The 24,995-nt window shown below is 47.4% G+C and overlaps 1 protein-coding gene across 17 annotated transcripts in view; it reads right to left on the reverse strand.

Annotated features, from left to right (window-relative positions):
• Positions 1-24,995, reverse strand: part of LOXHD1 (lipoxygenase homology PLAT domains 1) — a 180,260-nt gene that overhangs the window by 48,036 nt on the left and 107,229 nt on the right. For 14 of the 17 annotated variants that reach the window (NM_001145472.3, NM_001308013.2, NM_144612.7 and 11 more), the window contains 8 exons: positions 21,899-22,062; positions 20,321-20,425; positions 17,731-17,859; positions 16,780-16,944; positions 13,160-13,341; positions 9,339-9,455; positions 8,166-8,328; positions 4,181-4,335 (listed from right to left, as the gene is read on the reverse strand). In NM_001145472.3, the coding sequence (NP_001138944.1) occupies positions 4,181-4,335; positions 8,166-8,328; positions 9,339-9,455; positions 13,160-13,341; positions 16,780-16,944; positions 17,731-17,859; positions 20,321-20,425; positions 21,899-22,062 (1,180 nt within the window). Of the gene's footprint in view, positions 1-32; positions 229-4,180; positions 4,336-8,165; positions 8,329-9,338; positions 9,456-13,159; positions 13,342-16,779; positions 16,945-17,730; positions 17,860-20,320; positions 20,426-21,898; positions 22,063-24,995 lie in introns of all 17 variants that reach the window. The other 3 variants (XM_047437294.1, XM_024451088.2, XM_047437295.1) reach the window with 3 other exon arrangements.

The following is a 24,995-nucleotide window of genomic DNA, read 5'->3' on the forward strand; positions in this document are numbered from 1 at the left end:
TCCTTCCCCCTCAGTTGCTGCACTGAACAGACCTTCTTTGCTGGGGAGCCCTCCAGGCCCAAATCCCCAACACCGAGCCTGTGGGGTCCAAGGCCTCATATCCACAGTGGTCCCATTTTGCAGTCCACTTATATGTGTGGTGCCATGGAGAAAACTGCCTTCACCACATTCCTTTTGGGAGAAGCCTGTGGGTGTTTCGAAGCCTCCTCTGTGTAAGGGGGCTGGGACCTGAAGGTCATGGGCAGAGACAGAGGAGGGGTGGTCAGCTGGTCCTGTTCCCAGACTCCTTAGCTATGCTGAGCATTGGGGATAAGTCCAGCTGTGGCAACCGGAGGGCAAAAGCTCTTCTAGAGATGAACTTCTGAGTAACGGGAGGGGGTTTGAAATTCCCTGAGAGATGCTGAGAGGGAGTTAGATGAACCAGTAAGTCTGGGCTGCAGGAGAGGAGGCAGTAGAGGTGAGGCTCTGGGGGAGGAAAGGCTGTGGAGGGACTCAGGGACAAACATCTGGGATGCAGGCTCAAGGGGGTTTTGTGGGGGTTGTGATACAAGGCCCTAATCTGTATCCCTGAGTCTGTCTTCAGTCAAGTGGACATTCCACTCTTGTGTGCTGATTCTTTGAGGGGAGCTCAGTGAGGTGTGGATCCTAGGCTTTGAATGAGATGGGGCCAAGACAGAGTTTGAATGTGGGAAGTTAGGATGGGAGCCTGAGGAGGGTGAGAGGGGACAGGTGACACTGAGGGACACCTACTTTCCTTCTGAAAGATTTGCTGGGTGCAGGTGCCATGTGAGTCATTGTGCTGAGCCCTAGGAATCCAGAGATGAATAGAATAGGATGCCCTCTGCCCCCAGGACCCCACAGTCCAGGACAGCAAGAGGAGGGGATGGGTAATTCCAGCTCAGGTGGTGGGAACAACATCCTGTGTGAGGACTAGAGCCAGGCCTAGGAAGACAGACGTCTCCAGGTGTCAGCATTAAGCTGCAGCTGGGGGGCTGGGCTTTCCAGGCAGCTCAGGTAGGGAAAGACCATGGCCAAGGCAGCTGCAGGTAAATAGCAGCCAGTGGTGTGTGGCCGAAAGCAGATGTGGATGGGAGCAGTCCTGGGGTGCTGGCAATCCACTGGGTTCACCAGAGTAAGAATGGGCCCACCCTGAGATACAGCAATTCCACTTGTTTGCATCTGTCCTGGGGGAAGACCTTCACATTGCACAAGGATGTTTACCACAGATAATTTTTACAGTGGAAAATTGGAAGCCATCTGGGGTCCTGTGCTTGGGGAGTGGCTAAATAACTGGTAAAGCCTTTCCTGCAGAAAGTTGTGTGTGCAGTGGCTATAGAGAAGAGTCACCTCCAGCTATGTTTGAATACCCTGGCAGAGAGAGATTTCCAAGGCAGCCATGCACGCCAAGGGCAAGTTAAAGCAGTGTTTATATAGCATGATGCCTTTTATGTATAACAGTAATACCACGGAATGGCTTACCTATTTTCTATGGGTGCATGTACATGTAAGCACAGAAAATGTTTGGAAAGATGCTGAGGTAGAAGAGAGGGTGGGGCATGCTGGAAACTGCACTCAGTGGTCTACAGAGGGCACTCTGAACAGGCCAGTGGGGGTAGGCCATGAAGGTCTACAAATCCCATGAAGGACTCAGGGCAGATCTGGGACCCATGGGGAGCCTTTGCAGGCTTGCACTGAAAGAGTGACTGGTCAGTTTTGGACAGGTTAACTGAGGAAGCTGGAGGGTGGGTTGGATGGCAGGGCCTGGAGCAGAGAGACCATGCTGGCTCAGTGAGTGAGCTGAGATGAGGCAGGGCTGAGTGGAGACAGGGCAGACTTGGCTGATCTAAGGTTATTTAGAAGGAAGACTCTGGAACCTGGCAATTGATTGGATGTGGGTGGGGAGGGGTTTCCAACAGGGAGAGGGGTGTCCAAGATGACTTCCATATTCTGGAGTGATCAGAGAAATGGAAGCTTCTAGATGTTCAGCAGTGAACTTAAGGTCACATGGTTAGTAACTGAGCCAGAAGTTGGTCCAGCTCCCCTGATGGGGCGTCAAAACTGGAGGAAAACAGAAGAAAGGGATGGGGCAGAATGGGACAAAGATTTTTTCTTGTGACATAACAATTGCTGAGAGAGAGGAAAAAAAAAAAAACGGAATCTGAACGCAGAGGGGAATGGCTTGCATCACCTTCATTTATGCTTCCATTCATTTATTTACTTAATCCATATTTATTGAATGCCCACTCTTTGCCAGAGTCTGTAAATAAAGCCATGCATAAAAATGGACCTCTCAGCTGAATGCTGTACATTGCTGCTTTTACAATGCATTTACCAGGCATCAACACCAGGCGTCAACTAGGGCAGGGGACAGGTGAGCTTTCCCAAGACTTGACAACATCCAGCACAAAGAGCTACCTGCCTGCCAGACATGGTTCTAGACACTTCACATTTTTTATTCAGTTGACCTTCACAGTAACTCAAAATTAACTCTTTTTTAGGGTGGAGGAAAAGGAGGCACATAGATGTTAAGTAACTTGTCTAAGATCACACAGCTAGTAAGTGTCAGAGCCACGATCTGAGCTCAGGTGACCTGCCCCTAGCATCTGGGGACCTGATAAATAATATCCCTAGTGTAGAGTCAGGGACAATCACATAAATCACTTGACCTTTTTGGCATTCTATTTTTGCAAGATGGAAAGAGGAGGATAGGACTCCTCCTACCTACTTTATAAGGGCAATGAACAATTAGATCTCTTGTGGAACATGAATGTGTGTGTTTTAGATTATTTCTTCCTGGTACAACATGCTCTTACATCTTGTCCTGTTTTTCAGCCCAGAGGTCTAATTAGCAATCATATTACTATTCCTGCTTCAGATGCAGTAAACTGAAGTTAGAGGTAAATGGTTTCTATCTGGTTGGTGAAGCAGTGAATGGGAGTGCTGGGGGGTCTGACTCCTGGAGACCTGGCAGCCAGGCTGGGGCTCCTTCCACAGTCTCTGACTCACGGGGTCACCAGCCAGCTGCAGACCCACTTAGATGACACCCACCTTTCTAATCCCAGGGCTAATATCCTCCTCACTAGTAGAGTGGTTCAATATTAAGGGATATGCCTGGCTGAGGGTCAGGTTTAAGGAGACCCTTGATAAATACCCATTGGCTGATGTATGAAATCCCCAGACATGCACAGCCACAGGCAAGAGCACAGATCAGGTTAGGAGCCAATCCCCTTAACCTGATCTCCCTGTGGAGATAGCCTGGCCTGTGGGGATTTCAGGCAGATTTCAGTGCATGGAGAGGAGAAGGAAAGGAGGCTGAGGAGCAAGGGCGGGGAGGGGCAGGGGGCATGACAGAAAGGGCACAGACTGGGAGGAGTAGAGGCGGGGAGAGGGGAGCCAAGCTTGCGAGAAAGGAAGTTTAATAAAGCCCACCCTTAGAGACTCCTGTGTTTTTGTAAAATCAGTCTGTCAGAGCTGGAAGAGCCTTACACATCACCCAGTCATGTGGTTTTCAAGCCTTTTTATAGCCACAGAACCCTTTGCTTAACAGACGGCTTGCCTGGCACTGTGATCAACAGGCCAGGTCAAAGTGGATCCACCTGGGAGGGAGTGGGGTGTCCATCTGCACCTGCCTCCACCGCTCCCAAGGGCCTTGGAGCCACCTGGGGCTCTACACAACACAATTTAGCCAATTCATATCTGACCCTTCAATTTACAGATGAGGAAACTGAGGCCAGAGAAGTTGAAGCAGATAAGGAGTTGATAGCAGAACCAGGCCTCCAGATCCCCTCTCCACCCCACAGTTCAAGTCTCTGTCAGCACAGCCCCTGCCATTCTGCAGTGTTCACCTCCACGTTCATGAACCATGCACAGTGAACTGGATTTTCTGAAGATGACCCAGCCCCATCCAGCCAACAACCTCGAGCTCCAGCAGGCCTCCTGCTTGTCCAAGGCCGGCCTTCTGCTCCACCTCATCCCCTATGCAGGATCCAGGGTGGGTGCATCAGCTAGGAGAGGGGAATAAGGCACACTTGCAAGGGAAGGGCAAGGGCAGAGGCCCAAATGAGTGTGCACAATGCCCCATGGAGTTCCTGGATGTCCCCAGGAACCAAGAAGAGCTGGCACCTAGATCGCTGGGCCTGGAGAGGAGGGAAGGAGGGTAAACTCCGTGTGCCCCTCATACCGTTCCTCTCTCGAACTTGTTGGTCCGGTTCTCTGACTTGCCAAGGTATCGCTCCCCAGTGTCCCCGAGGTCTCCATAGATGGTGATGTACACCTTGGCATCCGTCCCTGCCCCAGGAATGTTCCCTGTGAAGATCTGCACCGAGTACAGCACAACTGGGCAGGTGGTGGGACAGACAGACAGACAAAGGGAAGAAAAGGGTGACAGCGCTTTAGGTCTTGAGGAACTGGATTTGTAGGAGGTGCTAAGCTTCTGGCCTAGGCCTCAAGGGGTTAATGCCTTCCTTTTGTTTGCTCAATTATGCATACTCAGCTTCAAATCCATGTGGATTCTCCAGTGGGAACTGTGCTCATCTGATCTAGACCCAGGTAGGCTCTATGAGACCCCAAAAATAGAAACTTTTTTCTAGCACCCCTCAAACGATCTATCTGCCCATATAGCTGCCTGCAGTGTACATGGGGAAAGACTCAGAAACTACCTGAGATGTGTCCACACTGTGGTCACTAAATCTACCTGCCATGATACATGGCAATAAAATGCCTTCCCATTTGAGGGTGACCAGTGTCAACACGAGATCCTTCTCAGTGGTTCACAGAAAGAAAATATTTTGTAAAGAACAGTTTCCCCTCTGTTCATTTCCTCACGTTCATTTATTCTCCAACCCACTGCCACCCTCCCCTGCCCCAGCGGTTCAGGTCAACTCCTCACCGAAGCCACTGTGACTGCCGCCCTCTCCTTGGTCTCCTATGGCCCATAGGGAGGGCTCAGTAAATATGGGTGTGACAATTATTAAAAATTATTACGAAAAACAAAAACGCATGGTATCTTGTTTTTGTTCTGCTGTTTTTATTTAAGGAAAAATAAAACATCTCCTTTCCTAACCTTCTCCTTACCAGGGAGACTCAAGTCTTGCATTTTTATGAAGGCTAAAAATTGGTTGGCCCCTCTGTGTATCCTCTGTCTTTGGAGATTTTGAGTTTCAGGCCAAGGAAGAGGGAACTTGGCTGGATTATCCCCAAGGTGAGAAATGGAAGCTGAAAGGCAGAGGTGGCCAAAGTGGAAGGAAGGTTAACTTCCCTTGTCCTGGGAGGGAGTGAGGATTCGGGAGTATTCGTGGGCCACAGGGACCCCTCACCTGCACACAGGGACCCTATAGGGAAGTGACAGCTGGGCTTCTTTACAGACTTGAAGCTTGAAGGGGGCCTCAAGGGTAGAACAGAGGGCCTTTTGACAAAGCCAGATTCATGCAGGAGTGTTTCTGGCCACCCAGAGAAATGATACTTGTGTGTTGGTGGAGAGCCAGTAGTGACACTGTGTGACAGCGAGCACAGCTGGGAGTGGCACTCATCCTGGACTAAGGGCCAGGCCTCTACTGTGAGCCTCAGGATTCCTAGAAGACCCTCAAAAAGGGGATTCCCCTCCCTGCCGTGAATGAGATGGCCTGTCTTATCAGCCCTTGCAAGTGGGCTCAGAACCACATTTAATTAAATTTAGAAAAGTAAAGTGATGTGAGTTGCTTGTCCCCATGGCTGTAGAACACAGTGACACCCACAGCAGGGTTCCCATGATTTTCTTATTTTCCCCTGGGTTCTGCAGCATTATTCCCTCCTGCTCTCCTTCTGTGTGGCTGGACACTCCTTCATGGGTAGCTTTATGGTTTCCTAATCTTCCACCCATGCCTTGGATGCCAAGGCCTCCCAGGTTCCACCCATATTCCTCAGCTCTCATCTTGCACTTCCTTGAGTTCTCTGAGTCTTTGCCTCCAACCCAGGTCCTTCCTTTGCTTCGGATCCGCACACTTATTACCTAGAGGGCGTCTCCACGTTGACCAGACTCCAACATTGCAAACTCACATGTTCAAACCTAAACTCTACCCTCTCCTGCAACCCCTGTCCCTTTTGCAAACCTTCTCCCCAACCATCTTCCTTGTCTCAGTGGTCCTGCCCAAGCCACTACCCTCCAAAGCTCCTGAGTGCATTGTGAGAGTTGACCTGCAGAGGCTGGTCAGAGACACCGCCAGGGGCAGAAACCAGGGACCAGCCACACTTGCTCCCACCCCACTCTGCCCCACTCAGCTCAGTGCAAAAACCTGTCAGCATTTCACACACTACATTAATAAAGAAAATCCTCTCTTTATTGTCTAAATGTTACCTAAGCTTGTCTTGCTAATACTGACCTGCGGTGACATTAGGAAACTTGTCATAGTTTAGACACAACAGTTGACGGTCTCCCCCCTCATTTTCCCCCTCATCCATTTTCTAGCTGTGCATTTGGGCCTGCTCCACATGTGAGCTAATCACAGGTGGCATGGGCCTATAGGGACACCTTTTCTAGGAGCCTGTGTCCCAGAGCAGGATGCTGTGTCCCCAGGGGCTGGGATGAAATGGCCTCCTCACTCCCCCTTTCTGCTTTCTCCAGTCCTCTGGGAATTAGGAAAACTGATTCAGCTTCTGAATGCTGAGCAATGCAGTAGTGCAGTCAGAGCCAGCTATTTCTGGATCCTCCTCCCTCCCCGTCCCACCCAGGCCACCCGGTGCATCCATGGAGAGATGTTTCCCTAGAAACATCACTGAGCTCAGAGTGAGTTTTGTGGTGTGTTATCCACACAGAACAGCCCAAGTGCTCTCCTGGGACAGCATTCCAGGGCATCCTCTGGGGTCCAAGTTGAGAAGGAAGTTATCCCCAGATTTAATAGCAAAGACTATGTGGAGAAAAGGATAGGAGTAGGGGAGTCACACTATTGAGGCAACACTCGTTTTTATTTCTGGGCGACAACTCAGGTTAAAGGAAAGGCAGAGCTATAGCTGTTTTACTTCTGGTGACAAAAAAGGAAGATGGTGTTTGTCTTTTGTCTTTTGGGTGTCTTATCCACTTGGTGGGCAGAAAGACCTGTCTTCCTGTCTCCATAAGGGGCCCAGAATTTTAAATTTTACTCCAGTTTTTCCAAGAAGACAACACAACAAATTTAAGGTGGATTTTCAAGCTCTTGGAGCTTCTTTGATCTGTGTAGGCTGCCCTGCTAGAGAGATCCACTGTATTCTTTTTCTATCATCAGGGGTAGAAAGTCTGTTTTTTGCAAATGAATTTGACTTTGAAACAGCTCAAGATAATTCAGAGCTGAATGGCTCATGAATAACATGGGGATTGACATGGACGATGCCATTGCTGGTCAAAACAGAGGTATGACTCTGTCCATATGTTCTGGGAAAAGTGTGCGTGTGTGTGTGTCTGTATGTGTACACATATACAATGTAGAAAGAGAGGAGAAGAGAAGGCTGAGGACTGAGCCTTGAGGAATACTATCTAGCATGAGAAAAGAAACCAGCACTCTAAACACTTCAGAGAGGTAGGAAGAGAACTAGAATATGGTGGTATCACCAAAAGCAAAGGAGGAGGAAGTACAAGGAGTGGCCAGTCTGATGCAAATCCTTCAGAGAAAACCACATTGATGAAGAATGGACGTGTTAACCAGCCCATCCAGAAATTCATGACCTTGGACATTCTAGAGCCATGCCAAACTACTGAGAACAAATACACAATGGTTCCAGTTACATATAAATCAAGAAGGTTTCTTGATTCATACTAAGTTGGGACAGCTAAGTCCAGCAAGAGCAGAGAGGCCAAAGCCAGTGATTGGTAGCAAATAAATGAATAGTAGGGAGAAAACAGGGACGAGGATAAACCAGGAACAGGATTCCCGTTATCTGGATGTATTATCCCAATGTCAGACCAGGGAAGAATTTTAGCACAAACCTTGGAGTGAGACAGCTGAGACTTTGAAGACTAGCTCGGCCATCTATTAGCTGTGTGCACTTAGGCAGATTATGCAACCTCTGTGAGCCTCAGTGGCCCTCTCTAGAGAGTGGAGGTAACAACAGACCCTACTCCTGGGTGAAGAGGCTTAGCCTGGCACAGGGCATGTGCTCAGGAGGACCAGGGTCCTGGAGCCTTCCCATGGTGATGAGGGTGGCCACACCACACTTACTGTCCAGAGGCTCTTCTACTTCCTTGTAGACTTGCCGTAAGGACCCATCTTTCATGTATTTCTCAGTGAAGATGTCATATGGAACCAGTTCTCGAATGGTCTTTTTGTCATCCTCAGAGGTGGCAAGCCACCGATCGCATGGGAAAGTCAAGGTCTCTGCACCCTGGGGTGAGGCAGAAAAAGGAAAATTAGCCCTTAATGTGAAAGCTGCCAACTTCAGGGATTCATCAGCTCAATACTCATGGAGACCAAGGACAAGGATCATGGGGCCCCATAAATAATGTAAAAGCCACAGGAGAGCCCCTTGCCCCAATTTCAGTAGATCAGTCTTAAAGACTTGCACAACCACATCAGAGTTTGGCTCTGAAAGGCTGGAGTTCCCAGGGTCACTTAAAAATAGGTATCTGAACTCCATCCTGGAGACTCAGATTCAGTGGGTAAGAGGAGGGGGGTGCTCTGTATTTAAAAATTGCTCCCTCTGGCTGGGCATGGTGGCTCATGCCTGTAATCTCAGCACTTTGAGAGGCCAAGGCGGGTGGATTACCTGATGTCAGGATTTCAAGACCAGCTTGGCCAACATGGTGAAACCCCATCTCTACTAACAAAATATAAAAATTAGTCGGGCGTGGTGGCGTGCGCCTGTAGTCCTAGCTACTTGGGAGGCTGAGGCGGGAGAATTGCTTGAACCCAGAAGGCAGAGCACTGTTGCACTCCAGCCTGGGTGATGGAGCAAGACTCCATCTCAAAAAAATAAAATAAAATAAAATTGCTCCCTCTTCATTCATATCCATAGCTATGGCTGAGATCTATCTCCTAGGTTTATACTTTTGTGGCTTCAGAATGTTTTTAAAGTTGTCTGGGGTGGATTTTCTATGTGAGTTGACCTTGAGTTACAGGAAGGGCACTCTGGTCAATCACTAGTAATATGGCCTTGGAGGTGGGGAGGAGAAACATGCCCAGACCCTCCTCCTCAACCACGAAACCAGGTTCTAGAAAATTCTGCTTGGGACCAGAGCTTGTTTCTGCACTCTGAGTGAACTGGGTGAATTTTCATTATGAGATTTTTATCTCAATAAGGCTGATCTAGCCAGTAGGTCCTCACAGGGAATTTGCCTTGAACCTGCTCTGGAAAGGGACAAAAGAAACAGCAGGACAGACCAGTCAACAACTCACGTCTTTATCCGGGAGGAGCCTGCGGATGTCCACGTGAGAGCAGTGCCACCCAGGATTCATGCCCGTGTTATTATGGCCAATCCGAATTTTTTCAATGATTTCTCCCACATCTTCTAACTTTGGAAAGGAGATAAGGCACTGAATGTTAGCTGAAAGATCCAGGAAAGTATGGCCTTGGCAACATCCTGCTTCCCCAGGGCATCCACCCTGAGTCCCTTTGCATTTCCTCCTGATACGTCTCCACTATCCAGCCAGGCCAGCTCCCATTGTCCTTGACACACACGCCATGCTTATGCCTCATGTCCCCTCTCTTAAAGTCAGCCTTGACTCCAGAACTTGGTTTAATCCACCTTCTCTGGGAGGGGGACCCCTCTTCAGCATGGAGCCCAGCTCCCCATCTGCCACTGCTCACTGTTGTAGCAACTCATCCCCTGTGTGAGAACTGAACTGGGTAGCAGAAGATGAGTTCTGGCTGTGCCATGCTCCTGTCTTGCCAAGTGGACTTATTCAAGGCCCCAGGCCCCTAAGAGTCCCCCACCTTCCAGCCACTCCTTTTCTGTGCTCCCACATAGAAATGCCAGTCCCTAGAACTCCACATTCCTTGCCACGGGGCCTTTGCACATGCTTTGCTTGCCTCTCTGCCTTCCTCTTCTTTACCTAACCCATACCTGCTCAACCTCGTAATCCAGGTCTCAACTCAATGATCACTTCCTCAGGAAAGCCCTTAACCTCCCCGAGAAAGTTAATTTTCTTCATGACAGGCTCTTGTTGCATAGTGGAGCCCCTCCTTGGAGTACTTCTCATAGTTGTAAGTTTTCATTTATTTGTGTGACACCTACCATCTCTTTCACCACTGAGAACCACAAGGCAGGCACCATTTTGCTCTGCATTGTATCCCAAAAACCTAGAACAGTGCCCATGACCTAGGTACTCAATAAGCATTGGTTGCAAGGACAAAAGAGTGTTTCCTTAGCTGCAAAATGGGTACGATAAAATCAGCCAGGCCTTCTCATAATGCGGTGGTGAGCCTTAACCACGATGGTGTGCATGAAAGTCCCCTGAAAAAAAAAAGCTGATACATGTGTGCCAGGTGAGCCCCTGAACTGGGCGGGGGATGGGGCAGCTACAACATCTTCTCTCTCCCACCTGGAGCCTCCAGGTATGGGATGCAGAGGAGAATCTCTGGCTTCTGTGACCTTAATCCTCTAAGCACTAAGTTGCATGGGACAGGATGGCTGCCTCTGTTTTTGTTGTTGTTGTTGTTGTTGTTGTTGCCCAGGCTGGAGTGCAGTGGCGCAAACTCAGCTCACGGCAACCTCCACCTCCTGGGTTCAAGCAATTCTCTCCTGCCTCAGCCCCTGGAGTAGCTGGGATTACAGGTGCCTGCCACCACGCCCAGCTAAATTTTGTATTTTTAGTAGAGACAGGGTTTCACCATGTTGGCCAGGCTGGTCTTGAACTCCTGACCTCAGGTGATCCACCCACCTCGGCCTCCCAAAGTGCTGGCATTACAGGCGTGAGCCACCGCGCCTGGTGGTCATCTCAGTTCTAACGCCTCAGAGAGCAATGTGGCCTTTAGGGGACAGCTACTCATGGTTGGTGGGCCTCAGAGAAAGACTCAGAGGACATCAACATCAGAAGGGACCCTAGTATTCTGGAAGGTGAAAGAATTAGGCAGAGAAGTCTCTGGAACTGAACTTCTTGAGTCTAGATCCCAGCTCTGCTGTTTTAAGACACCTTGAGTAAGTCTGCTTAACCTTTCTGCACTTTATTTCCTCATCTGTAAAATGGGATGATCATACTAACTACGTCTTGGAAATGTTATAAAGATTAAATGAGTTGATACACATCAGGTCCTTAGAACTGTGCTGGCCCTTGGATGTTCTCAATAACTCTTAGCTATTATTGTTCTTTTCCTGGTCAACATCTTTTCTTAGGAGGGGGCCACAGAGAGAGGAAGCGGCTTCCTCCTGAGATAGTGGCTGAGCCAGAATCAGATCCAGGGTTACCGACTCCGCAATTCAGCGTTTTACCTCCTACCTGAAAATCAATCAGAAAAGGGAAGTGCAGAGAGAGGGACACAGGTGGGCAGAGAGACAGAGGCCAGGAGACAAAGCCCTTTCATTTGTTTCCCAGCTCTCACACTCCCCCCAAATCCAGAGAGATTTGAAAAGAAAAAAAAATAGCAACAAAATTACTGGCAAATTATAGCTGTCTATTAGTGGGGACTTCATTGATAAAAACTCCCCGGAAGTCATGCCGAGGTGTGATCACAGCCTCAGCCGCTGACGGCATCAGGCCTGGATGACTCACGCACCATGACATCTTGGGTGGATGAGATGTTAGCTTTGTGTGGATTAATGAATCACCCTTAAATTTTCTCGTTAAAAGACTCAGCAAAGGTGACAGACCTTCCCACAAGTGCTGACTGCTCCAGAGAAGGTGGGAAGAGAGCAAGGCATCCCCCGGGATAGAGACTGGCCCAGGAAGAAGGAAGGTGCCCTGGGCTTTGTTTCCTATCAGAAAATAAGGGGCACATCTCCAAAGATCCCACTGCCTGGAGGGCCCAGCCTTCTGAGGCTCCTGGCTCTTCTCCTTCAGGGTCTCCTGCGCTTCCCCTCTAAGTCTTGCTTCATTATTGCCATCTATCCAAGTTACATCACACTCCTCCCATGGCTTCTACTCAAACCTCAAGCCACATGCTTATTTCCACCTCTGAGCTGTTGGCCATGCTGTTCCCTCTGCTAGGAATGCCTTTCCTCCTTGTCCCTGCTAATGCCCCCTTTCAGATCCAACTCAAAGCCACCTCTTCCAAGGAGCATTCTCCCTTCTCTAAACAGTGATAGTAAGCTCAGTCCATTTGCTTGTCTACTGCAGTAGCTAACTAAGAGTGCATATTCCAGAGCCAGTCCTCCTGGGTTTCAATCCTGCTCCCACTACATCCTAGCTGTGTGGTTTTAGGGAAGCAACTAAACCTCATGCCCCAGTTTCCCCATATTTACACAGGGACAATTATAGCACAGAGTTTTTATGATAATTAAGTGGGTTAGCCTATGACAGTGCCCTCTGACCCACAGGGTCCATGACAATGACCATCACCAGACTCTCTCATTACCTTTGTTGGGAGGACTGGGGTCCCCAACTTGACCGTAAGCCCCTCTCAGGCAGGATCTGAGCTCTCCCCTTCTCTTGTGTCTCCCACCCAACCTAGTGCACAGCTGAGCACACAGGGCAGGCACAGTGTGCATGCACTAAATTGAAGTATATGGATTCCAAGGCATTATGACCTACATGCACAGTAAACACTGAACAACAGCACCTCCATTGTCAAGACCTGATGGGAAGCCATGGAACATACAGAATGCTCTTCTCTATTAAATTGTTTGACCATAGCTTGAGAGCTGAGCAGGAGACCCTAGCCCATGACCACTGGTGGTGGGATTTCCACCTCTCCCTGGCTAGCAGTATCAGCAGAACCCCACAACCAGCAAGTCTGGGAGCTATGTTCCACCTGTGGATAAGTGTCTATTGTTGGAAGCTCTAGAGAGGCCCGTTGGCTTTATGCCTCTAGTGTTCCCAAGTCCTGTCTCTCATCATTGCCTTTGATCCTGACACCAGTCCAGGAGGAGCAGGGTGAGCTTCACCATTCCCCTGGTTGCTTGGATGTACTGAGGCCCAGGAAGGTAGGATGAGCTGCTCACCTTCCTCTCTAATAGCAGTGCATCAGGATGAAGGGCATGTGTTCTGCCCTGAAGGTAGGGCTTCTCCTCTCCCTCTGTCTGACCTACTCCATCCCTGGACAGCCTGCTGAGCCCAAGTACCTCTACGATGAAGCGGGAGGCAGACTTCCTCTCAAAGAACTGCTTCTGTTCCCTCTTGTTGGTACACAGATACTTCTGCTGGGTGCACACGGCATCGCAGCCATAGATGATGATGAAGATGTTGGCATCTGTCCCAGCAGCAAAGACATCACTGGTGTAGAGGGTGATCTCGTAAGGAACAACTGAGGGTGGTGGTCAGAGGGCAAAGCCAGAGTGGATGAGAGAACAGAAAACAAACATGGTGAGAGCCAGTTCTTCACCAGCACAACCAGCCCAGACCCTTGCACTGGGGAACTGCTGCCCGGGGAACTGCTGCTCAGGGACCTGGACCTTCACAAGGTTGCCTAGCAACTGCAGGTGGGGTCCTGTCCTGCCCCGCCCCCATGGAAAACCCTCACCCCCTCAGACCAGGGTGTGTGAGCCTCTCACATGCCAGAGCACATGTAGCAGACTGGTTGAAAGCACAGGCTTCAGAATTTGACAAGCCCAGGCTGGAATCCCAGCTCTGTCTTGACCATTGGTGTAATCTGGGCAAGTTAATTCTGAGCCTCAGTGTCCATTGTCTGTAAAGTGCCCTCGACATGGTGCTTGGCTGAAGAGACTCCACAAACAAGAGCACTAGATTTCAGGGGGCAACTTGCTGACTGGATCGGCCAGTCTACGGTAGTGAGCATTCTTTCACTCTTCTCCGTATCCCCTGCTCCCAGTCTCTCACTTGCTCCCAGATGGCCTGCCTGCCCCAACCCATCCACCTCACACCCAGCCCCTCATTCAGGTTCCGTCACATTACACACATCTTTTATAGGGGAGAGGATAGCAGGAGGCGAGGGCTGCACCAGGGTTTATTGGTCCCACCAGGGACTATCTCCCCTAGAAAGAGGGTTGACAAATCAGTGCTGTTAGCAAGCAGCTTCCTGGTGGGCAGCCACCGGTGTGAACAGAGACCAGTATGTCTCTATGCATGGGTGGAAGACCTTTGCTTCAGAAACTTTTGGGGATGCTTGTTAAAAATACAGATTTGCAGGCCAGGTGTGGTGGCTCATGCCTGTAATCCCAGAACTTTGGGAGGCCGAGGTGGGCTAATCACTAGAGGTCAGGAGTTCAAGACCAGCCCGGCCAACATGGCAAAACCCTGTTTCTACTAAAAATATAAAAGTTAGCTGGACGTGGCGGTGGGTATCTGTAGCCCCAGCTACTTGGGAGGCTGAGGCAGGATAATTGCTTGAACCTGGGAGGTGGAGGTTGCAGTAAGCTGAGATCACGCCACTGCACTCCAGCCTGGGTAACAGAGTGAGACTCTCTCTTAAAAAAAAAATGCAGATTTGCAAAACCTGCCTTAGTTTCTCTGCAGGATGGGTCTAGGGATCTGAATATTTAACTCATACTTTATACTAAAGTTTGAGACCACCTGAAACAATGTATTGCTATAGTAACTATAGGTTAGTTCATTAGCAGGTTGTGAAATGAGTTTAGTGGGTTGTCAACAGTATTTTTTAAAATATGTGGAATTGAAAAAATCTAATAGAAAAATATCACTGTATATCACACATAATGAGAGTACAATTTTTGTGACATTTTTATTTTTTGCATATGCGTATAAATGTGTACAATTGCTCTGGGTCACAGTAACTAAAAAAAAATTTAAGAAAAAAAAGAAGAATATTGAAAACCCAGAGAAACAGTTCAAGTGGATGTCTACTCTATCCTGTAGTCTTGGCCCTTGAAAGGAGTCACAATACAAGCTTCCTTCTCTCTTGTGGCCCTAACCTTCTCCAGATGAAGACGTTGCTTTCATTTATCATCATAGCTACTTTGCTGTAGGGCTGTAGTAGTGATACTTGCAGTAGTAATAGTAGTAATAGTTATCACTTATTAAGACTTCCTACATGTCAGACTCTGTACTGAGCATGCTATGGTCCTTACCTCCTTTAACCCTCACAATGACTTGAGGGAGTAGGTATTATTACACTCCATTTTACAAATGAGAAAACCAAGGCTCAGAGAGGTGAAGTAACTTGCCCAAAGTCACATGGTAGAACTTGAACTCAAACCCAGGCTTGCCTGACCTTAAAGCGTGCATTGCCAGCCTCTAGGAGTCTTGTTGCTGTGAACTAGAGATAAGTACTGCTGCTTAGCCACAGGCAACAGAAAGAGACAGCCCAGGGAGGTGACCACTAGCCCCACAATGGCTTGAAAAGGCCCTCACCTATAGGTTGAAGGGAAACAGCCTCGACCCTGCTGGGTGCTCAACCAATAACAGAGGTGTCATCTCTGCAGCATACAGTCCCTTCCTCTGAGCCTCTGGGGTTTCTCCCTGACCCAAGACTTGGAAAGCCTTGAACAGAAAAGCTGGCAACAGAATCTGAGCTTTCCTGAGACTGGCCAGCAGTAGGAGAACCCCTGGAAGTTTCTGGGCAGGAACAGCTCACCCTTTAGGTTAGTTTTAATATCAGGCTGGAACTGAACATATTCAAAGTCAAACCATACAAACTCTTTATCTTTTTTTTTTTTTTTTTTTTTTTGGTATGGCATGTCCTAGGGCATGTAGGGAGAAATGGATACGTTTGTCCTCAAGGGTCCCACCCAGTGCTGCTGCCAACCCCATGCACATCTTTCAGGCCAGAGTCTGTCCTCGCCTGCAGGTGACTCCTGGGAATAGAGGCTGGATCCAGGGCTGGCTTTGGGCATGCCCAGCCAGAGAAATGTCACTTCATTTTAGACTTTGGATCAGAAGATATTTTGATGATCTGTTCATTTCAGTTTATTGCTTTAGGCAAAAATTTGTTCATCACTGATACATGCTATTAAGTATGAGTTGTTTGGGGGAAATCTTGTGGTACAGTTTATTATTTAGTTAGAAAAAATTATATGCTCTGGAATTTATTCAGATTTTACCAAATTCAGACAGACTTTCAGAGTTTAGTTAATTTCAGTTTGATTCCCAGTACATAGTACTACATACTTACATGTCTATAAACATTTAATACATTCTTTCTGATGATGACAGTGGAAAGGAAGTGTCAAAACTTCACTAAATTACTCCCTTCCCTTCTTCCCCTTAGCTAGAAAAGGGAATTACATTCACCTTTTTTTTGAATTCTGGGTCTAGCAGGGTCCAGGCTGTGTTTCCCTTCAACCCATAAGTGAGGGCCCTTTCAAGCCATTGTGGGGCTGGCAGTCATGTATACCACCTGAGAAAATCTTATACTGCTGACTTATTTGGCATGTTAATGACTGGAGTAAGGATTGGTGACAGGGTTGATAATGATTCCTCAGTTAGACCTTTATCTTTCTTCCTTTTGGATATTGCTATCATCCTGCATTATTATCTCTATGCTGCAGATGAGGAATCTGAACCCTCGAGAGGTTAGGTTCTCTACATGTTGTCACCAGCTAGCTTGGAGTAGAGTTTAGAATAAATTTCATATTTTCATTTCCTGGGTCCAGAACTCTGCCCACAGCCCCCACAGAGTCAGAAAATTCAGGACAGGGATGAAAGACCAAAATCTTCAAGGTGGGCCTGGCCCACAGTCAATCCTGAAGGAAGAACTGGGGCTGAGTTGGGGTAGCTGGTGATGGGGCCCCAGAGAAGGGCTGGCCTTGCCGTGTGTGGTTCCTACATGGTGTGTACAGCCTCGTCTGAAGCTCTGCATGGAAGAGGTCTCTGATGATGGACCCGTCGTCTTCGTTTTTGGCCAGCCAGCGGCCACAGGGAAACGTCATGCACTTCCCAAGAGATGGGGCATCCACCTCTACCCAGTCTACAAACCAGCCTGGGGCCTTGCCTAGAGAGAGAGGAGACACAAAACCCATCAAGGACCTGAGCAGAGATGATTTCCTGTGGGTAACTTCAGGGACTCCTGACTTCCTTCCTTAGGTGGCTGGCTGATATCATTAACATGACATCCCTTTTGCTTGCAGCATTGCTAAAGTGACTCCCATTAAAATGTGCACCCAGATGTTGAAGCTGGATCACACTCCAGGCTGCTGTCAGTGAAATTAGTAAGAGTAAAAGAGCATCAATAGGAGATGACAGGAGAGTAGGGGGAGGCTGAGGTGGGAGGGCACTGAGAGGAAGCAAGGATGCTGTCCTTCCTTGAAGAAGGGGCTTCAAACAGAACTCAGGGATGCCAGGAAGAGCCTGTGTTTACAAAAGCTTTATAATCTTACCCAATGATAGGAATGAAGCAATTGAATCAAAGGCTCTGGGGGTGGAGCCAAGAAATCTGTGAGTTAATAACCCCCCAGGTGATCCTGTTGCACACTCAAAGAACTACTGAGTTAGATCGGAGATTTTCATATCTGGCTGTGCATTAAAATTACCGACACTGGGGTTGATAAAGGCTTTAAAAATCACCAGTGTCCAGGTACAGCTCTAGACTAATTAGGCCAGAAACTCTGTGTGCAGCTGAGGACTCTCTCGGCTCTACTGGGCTAAAGGGATTAAGGAAGCTGTGTCATTACAGAAGACAGATGGCATTCAAATTTCCAGAATCTTTCCCAGATGCCCACAAGGACCTGTCCATGGTCCTTAAAGTCTTAGCAAGGAACAGAGGGGAGGGAAGCCACACCTGTGTTGTCATGGCCAAGCCGGACTTTCCACAGGTCTCCCAGATCCAGCGTCTCCACCGTGAAGATTTCAATGCTGTCCCTCTCAAACTTATCGCTGTTTGTCTTGGAGGACTTCAGGAGGGTCATTCCTGTGGATCAGATGACCCCAGCATGACTGGCTGGACCTGAGGCCTTTCAAGCCTAGTCAGACCCAAACCTTTAATCCCTTTTCAAAATGACCAAATTTCTGAACTTCCACCAAATTTAGACTGTGCAATTATCATCCATTGGCCACCTTTGCACAGTGGGCATTTTAAAAAATTTTTTATTTCAATAGCTTTTGGGGTACAGGTGGTTTTTGGTTACATGGGTGAGTTAGTAGTGAATTCTGAGATTCTGGTGCACCATCACCTGAGCTGTGTACTCTGTACCCAATGTTGTCTTTTATCCCTCATCCCCTTCCCAACCTTCCCACAATGAGTCCCCACAGTCCATTATATCATTTTGTATGTTTTTGCATCCTCATAGCTTAGCTCTCTTTTATAAGTGAGAACATTCAGTATTTGGTTTCTCCATTCCTGAGTTACTTCACTTAGAATAATGGGCTCCAGCTCCATCTAAATTGTTGTATAAGACATTATTTCATTCCTTTTTATGGCTGAGTAGTATTCCATGGTGTGTATATACACCATATTTTCTTTTTATCTTTTAAAAAAAATTTTTTATTACACTTTAAGTTCTGGGGTACACGTGCAGAACATGAGGTTTTTTTACATACGTATACATGTGCCATGGTGGCTTGCTGCACCCATCAACCCATCATCTACATTAGTTATTTCTCCTAAGGCTATCCCTACCCTAACCCCCCACCCCCTGACAGGCCTCGGTGTATGATGTTCCTCTCCCTGTGTCCATGTGTTCTCACTGTTCAACTCACAGTGGGCACTTTTTTGGTGTGTGTTCTTTCACTGAGTTTTACAATAACCCTTTAGGGTGTGCATTTTTATTTCCAGTTTATGTTGAAAGAGATACCTTACTCAAAATCATCCGGGAGACAGTGGTGGAGCTCTAAGTCAATGCTGCACCACCTCCATACCCTCACAACTCTCTACATGGAGAGTCAGCCAGTGACAAAGCCACACTCTCTATGTTCCCTGGGGAAACATGGGATTTCCTTCAGGGATGGGACATGTGAGAATCTCTGGAGCATCTTCTCTGGATGACAGAGGAGGGATGAATTTGAATGCCCCAACCCCCAGCTATTTCACATATATAATCAGTCCTGAGACTGCCTGTAGTGTCAGTCTGAAACTGAGGTGATCTCAGAGTCATCGCTATGTCTTCCTGCCTCAGGATGCACTGCATTGCCTTTAAGTCCCTGTACCCCAATAAGTCCCAGCTCTGGGCCCACCTCATGTAGAAAGTCTTCTGCTATTCCTAGACTCACTACAGACTGGTTTAAGTATACAGAGAGATAGACAGACCTTGGTCCAGTGCCTAGCTCTGCCACTTACCACTGGGTGGCCTTGGGAAAATTATGTAATGTTTCTGAGACTTGGTTTTCCAAATGTCAAAAAAGGACAGGTCTTAGTCCCTTCCTCGTAGGGCTGTTGTGAGGACTTAATGAGTTGATGACTGTTGGATGCTCAAGAATTTGTCTAACACATAGAAAGGCCTCAGATAATAAAAGCAGTTGCCAAAGCCGATTAATTTCTTTGATCATGGTTCAGGAATGATTGCAATCACATGCATTTGTAGGTTATGACCTAATTATATCATTATATATTATCTGCTTTATCCAACCTATTAAATAATTGATGTTAATTAATGTTTATTGAGTGCCACTTTGTCCCAAATGTTGTACATGTTCAACTTCATTAGACCTACAACTCTATAAGGCACATACTAATTTTATCCTCATTTTATAAATAGAGGAAACTAAGGCACAGAGGGGTTAAGCAACTTGCCCAATGTCACACAGCTAATAAATGGTGGAGTGGAGGTTTGAACCAATCAGACAAGCTTCAGAGTCTCCATGCTCTCTACCAGCACATTGTTGTAGTAGATATGAGCACCCCATGGTCAAGGGTTAGGTCCATTTATTCTTCAATAATGCTTGGCACTAGGCTCTGGACCTGCAGGATTTTGAGCAAATATATGATGACTACTTGAGGGACTGACTGACTCCTCTCTAAACTCAACAGAATGGCTGGACAGTGGCGTGAGCAGATGGCTGGACCCAACACTAAACACCACCTTCTCTGAGTACCTGAGCAAAGGCTCCTGAACAACTCTACAATGCCTGGAGTGCCTCATACTGAGAGTATCATGGCTGAATTTCATTGAAAGTTGGGCAAAGCCATCTTGTCCCAGATTGTTATTGGGTGGAGTCAGGGCTACCTTCACCATTAGAACAGAAAAAGAAAGCTGGCTCAGAGAAAAAGAAAATTTTTAGAAAAAAAGGAACTGCCTTTCTCGATGGGGCTAATTGCTTGCATCCTATTGAGAGACAAAAGCATAATTAGGATTCCCCTTGGAAATTTCTGCTGAGTCTTCTGGTCTCCCTGGGGAAGAATGTGGGTGAATCTTGGCCCTGCACTGCTTTCTTACCAGTGTCATCCTGTGTGCCAAAGAGTGTGATGAAGACATTAGCATCTGTGCCCGCATTCTTCTTAACCCCAGTCTTTATGGTCACTGAGAATGTGGTAGATTTATCTGCCAAGAGAATAGTATAGAGCAATGAATTGTAGACTGTTCCTTTCATGAAAGGAGGAAAGAGGACAGCCACCTCCTCTAGAAGGGCTTCCTTGATTCACTCCCTCTACCCCATCACTCCAATTTTTCTCTTGCCCCTTCAATCCTGTATCTGTGAGCCCAGTGATTAGTAATAAGTATGTTTCTATGTTCCTCTTGGCCATTTCTTTTTTTTTTTTTTTTTTTTGAGACGGAGTCTCGCTCTGTCGCCCAGGCTGGAGTGCAGTGGCGGGATCTCGGCTCACTGCAAGCTCCGCCTCCCGGGTTCACGCCATTCTCCTGCCTCAGCCTCCCAAGTAGCTGGGACTACAGGCGCCCGCCACTACGCCCGGCTAATTTTTTGTATTTTTAGTAGAGACGGGGTTTCACCGTTTTAGCCGGGATGGTCTCGATCTCCTGACCTCGTGATCCGCCCGCCTCGGCCTCCCAAAGTGCTGGGATTACAGGCGTGAGCCACCGCGCCTCTTGGCCATTTCTAAGAATCATTTTTTTTTTCAGCATGTGTTACTCTGCAGTCACCATTAGTCTGGAAACTTCCAGAGGGTAGAGATGTGAGTCCTCTGCCTCTGGCTTATACAGGAAGCCTTCAATCAATAGAGTTGATAGGATGGTTAGGGGATACTTTGAGGGTCAGAGGCTCAGCAGCCAGGAGCCCCATTCTGACTCCTCCTGGCTGGGAGGAGTTTTAGGGATGCATATTTCAGGGGAGCATCATAGAACTCTTGAAAGTTACTGTTCATTCTTTCCCTTGACAAAAATGCATTGAGTGCCTATAGGGGAGGGCACAAGACTGAATCAGAAGTGGCTACACTCATTCCATTCTACTCCACTCTACTCCATTCCATTCTACTCCACTCCACTCCACTCCATTCCAATACATTTCATTCCAATACATTCCATTCCAACCCATCCCATTCCATTCCATTCCAATCCACTCCACTCCATTCTACTCCACTCCACTCCATTCTACTTCAATGCATTCCATTCCATTTCAATACATTCCATTCCATTCCAACCCATCACATTCCATTCCATTCCACTCCACTCCATTCCATTCCACTCTACTCCATTCCATTCCATTTCATTCCAACCCATCCCATTTCATTCCAATCTATTCCATTCCAATCATCCCAATTCAGTTCATTCCACTCCATTCCAATTCATTCCATTTGATTCCAATCCATTCCATTTCATTTCTGACAATAACTCAGTCCTAAGCTGTGTGCTTTATACTGCCTTACACTAGATATGTGAGACTATGCCCCCTTTACCTCCCCAGTCTTGCCACAGAGGAATGAGAGGGCAATACAATAGACTGTCAAGGGAGGAAGTTCCCAGAGCCCACAGGGGAGGGAAGGAAGATGGAGACTTAGGGTTAGGGAGAGGCAGAGGGGAGGGGTGCTGGAGAAAGAAATCAGCTCTAGTTTAGAAAACCTTTCTGCTCCAGGGCCAGGTTGTCGAGGGGGTTGTTGTCACCGCCTCCCCTACCCTCCTCGCTCTGTGGCAGCACATAGGACTCATCCACTGGCAACAGCTCCCTGGACAGCTGGCCATCATCTTCCTCCACTGCCAGCCAACGTTGGCATGGAAAGTAGTACCTGTGGGGGTGGATAGGGAAAGATTGGAATGTCCTCTTAGAAAGGTCTCGTCCAGGAGCAGTCATGGGCTGAGAATGAGAGGCCCTCTATGGGGTCCCAAACTCTCCCCTGTCTGCCCCTGACAGCATTGCCCTGCTATTCTACCCAGCCTGGGAATCACTCCATTAGTCATTTGCCTGGGGTAGAGAACAAACTTGGGGACATTGGCTCTAGACACTCCATTGAAAATTGTTATGTGACCTGCCTGGAGCACACAGAGCCTCAATCAGGGTCATATTGGATGGAAGTATCTAGAAGGAGAGGGACATACGGGGACCTTTCCAACCCTTTCCAGAATGAATCTGCTAGCCAGGGCTACTTTAGTAGAGAGGGTTGTACATAGTAGGTGCACAATACATAAGTGTTGAACTAATGGATTTTAATGGAATGAGCCAATTATGTCTGCTTTCAGAAGGTACAGAGAGTATGGCTGAGGAGCTGGCATAGAAGACTGCTGGGGCCATCTAGGAAAGGGAGGTCCAAGTCAGACCCCTCAGCATGGAGGTAACACCCAGCACAAGGGAGGTGCCTGGACAGAGTGAAGGTAGGGCCAGGGATGGGAGGCACAGTGGGGTAATTAAGGACTCTCCCCTGGGTCAGACTGTCCAGGTTTAAATTTTGGCTCTACCACTAATACTTGTGCAATCTTGAGTAAGTGTCCTTATCTCTCTGTGCTAGGGTTGCCAGATTTAGCCAATAGTTACAAAATCCCTATTAAATTTGGATTTTAGATAAACAATGCATAACGTTTTAAGTGTGTCCTATCTAATATTTGAGTCATGCTTATACAAAAACATTATTCATTGCTTATCTGAAATTCAAACTTAACTGGCAACCCTACTCTGTGCCTCAGTGTACCATAAAATAAGCATAATATTGCCTATTTCATAGGGTGTTGTGAGGATTACATGTGTTAACTTTATAAAATGCTTATAAAAATGCCTGGCTCAATGTAGGCTCTCAGTAAGCATTGCTACTGCTATTGTCGCTCTTGTAATTTCCCTTCCCTTTCATTCTCCTTGGCCCATGCCTGGGATCTCTGGACGCTGTGGTCTGGGAATATCCTCTCTGGGTGCTAAGCTCCCAGAATAACACAAAGGGTCTCAGAATTCAGCCTGTCTCTAAGTTGGGGCCATTCCACCCTCTTTATGTCCCTTCCCCACCCCTGCCCTGATGCACAAGGGCCACTCAGGGACTGCTCAAAGTCTGGAGAGGTAGGGGCAGTGCAGGCCAAAGGTCCCATCCCTGTCTGAGTCCCACATTTTGCTAGAGTCTTCATTGCCTCCAAGTATCAAAATGTTAGAGGAGCAGAACCAGAGAGCGAGATCTCAGTCAATGGGCTCAGATGGGGTGCTGAGGGGGGCAACGTTACACTGATGGCATGGATTTAAAGGAGCTCGACCTGGGGCAATATGAACTAAGCTACCATTAAATTAGTGTTTCAGAGAAAAATGCACACTGTTCTGCTTCTTAGCCTTTAAATGTATGAATAGGAAAGTTAACATTTTATCCAATCAAATAACTTATGAATAATAGGCTATAGTTATAAATTATGGCCAATTAAGGAAGAGAGACAGAAATAAAGAAAGAGCTGGGGTCAGAGCAGAGGTGGAGACAGAGTGTGTAGGAAGTTGGCAGAGGACAAGGACAGAACGAGACACACACAAAGAAAGAGCCAGGGAGGGAGAGAAAAAAAGTCAAAGAGACAGAAAAGGTACAAGCCCTCCCATGCATACAAAGAGAAAATGCACACAGAGTCTGGATTTCCTGGAGCAAAATCTCCATTGTCCTTGAGATACTTGCATCATGACTTTAAAGCCCCTCAGCATGCTCACTACTGCAGAGAGCAGCACGTCTCCTCTCAGAACCTGCTCCTTGTACCGACAGAACCAAAGCAGGAGTCAGGTATGGCCTGAGCGCTGGGCGTTCAGCTTCTATCCCCACAGTGCCAACAAGCACACATGAAGATTTAGGACACCAGGCCTACTGACCCCTGCCTCTTCCTCCTCCAGGAATACATCCTGGTCAACCAGGCTTCTGGATACCAGGGAGGGGACCAGGCAGGGGTTTTTTAGTGAATAAAGGAGATGAGAGGAATGCAGGTGTTCTAAGGCAGATAAGCTCACCACACTCCTAAACAAGGATGATGGAAGGAAAGAGTAAGGGCTTCTGTAAGCAGGAGGTTGAAACTGAGCATCGAACCAAAAGCTCGAAACTGTTAAAAGTATAAACTCCACTTGAAAGTAAAAAATGGAATGAGATTGCAAAATTGAGTGTTGTACAATATAAATAATTTCATACAGAATTTTCCATTTTGTTTATAAGCTAAAGTCTGGACAACATCAAGTATGAGTAAATCCTGGCAGAGTGGTGTAATGACAAAAGCATGGATCTGGAACTCAGGAATTCTGAATTTGTTTCCCTCCTCTGCCCCTAACAAGCTGTGAGATCCTAGGGATTAAACTGTACCACCCAGAAGGCTGGGTGAGATGACCTGGAAGGTCTTTTCTGTCTCAACATTCTGGGACCTCTAGGATCCCTGGAGGAATGGGAGATTCCAGAGGACAACTCTTTATTAGATAAAATTTAAGGGAAAAAAATTTAATAACTTTTTGTTCAACCCTTTCTGGAAATCCCACCCAACATATTTGCCACATGAAACAATATTCAAGAATGGTATCTGTCTTTAATTATTAAGGATCTTATAGGACCCCCCAGGCCATCAATTAAAACATAAATCTTTGTTTCAGGGCTGGGAACAGAGGTAGAGAAAACATAAAATATCACATCAAATGTGGATGAAACCCAGGACACTAAACATATTCCCAGCTTTTTTTGGCATTTGCCTCTTTGTCTTTGAAATTGAGTGCATTAGACTTTATTGCAGATCTTAA

Source organism: Homo sapiens, chromosome 18 (genome assembly GCF_000001405.40).
Source record: "Homo sapiens chromosome 18, GRCh38.p14 Primary Assembly".
In the NCBI taxonomy this organism is placed as follows: domain Eukaryota; kingdom Metazoa; phylum Chordata; class Mammalia; order Primates; family Hominidae; genus Homo; species Homo sapiens.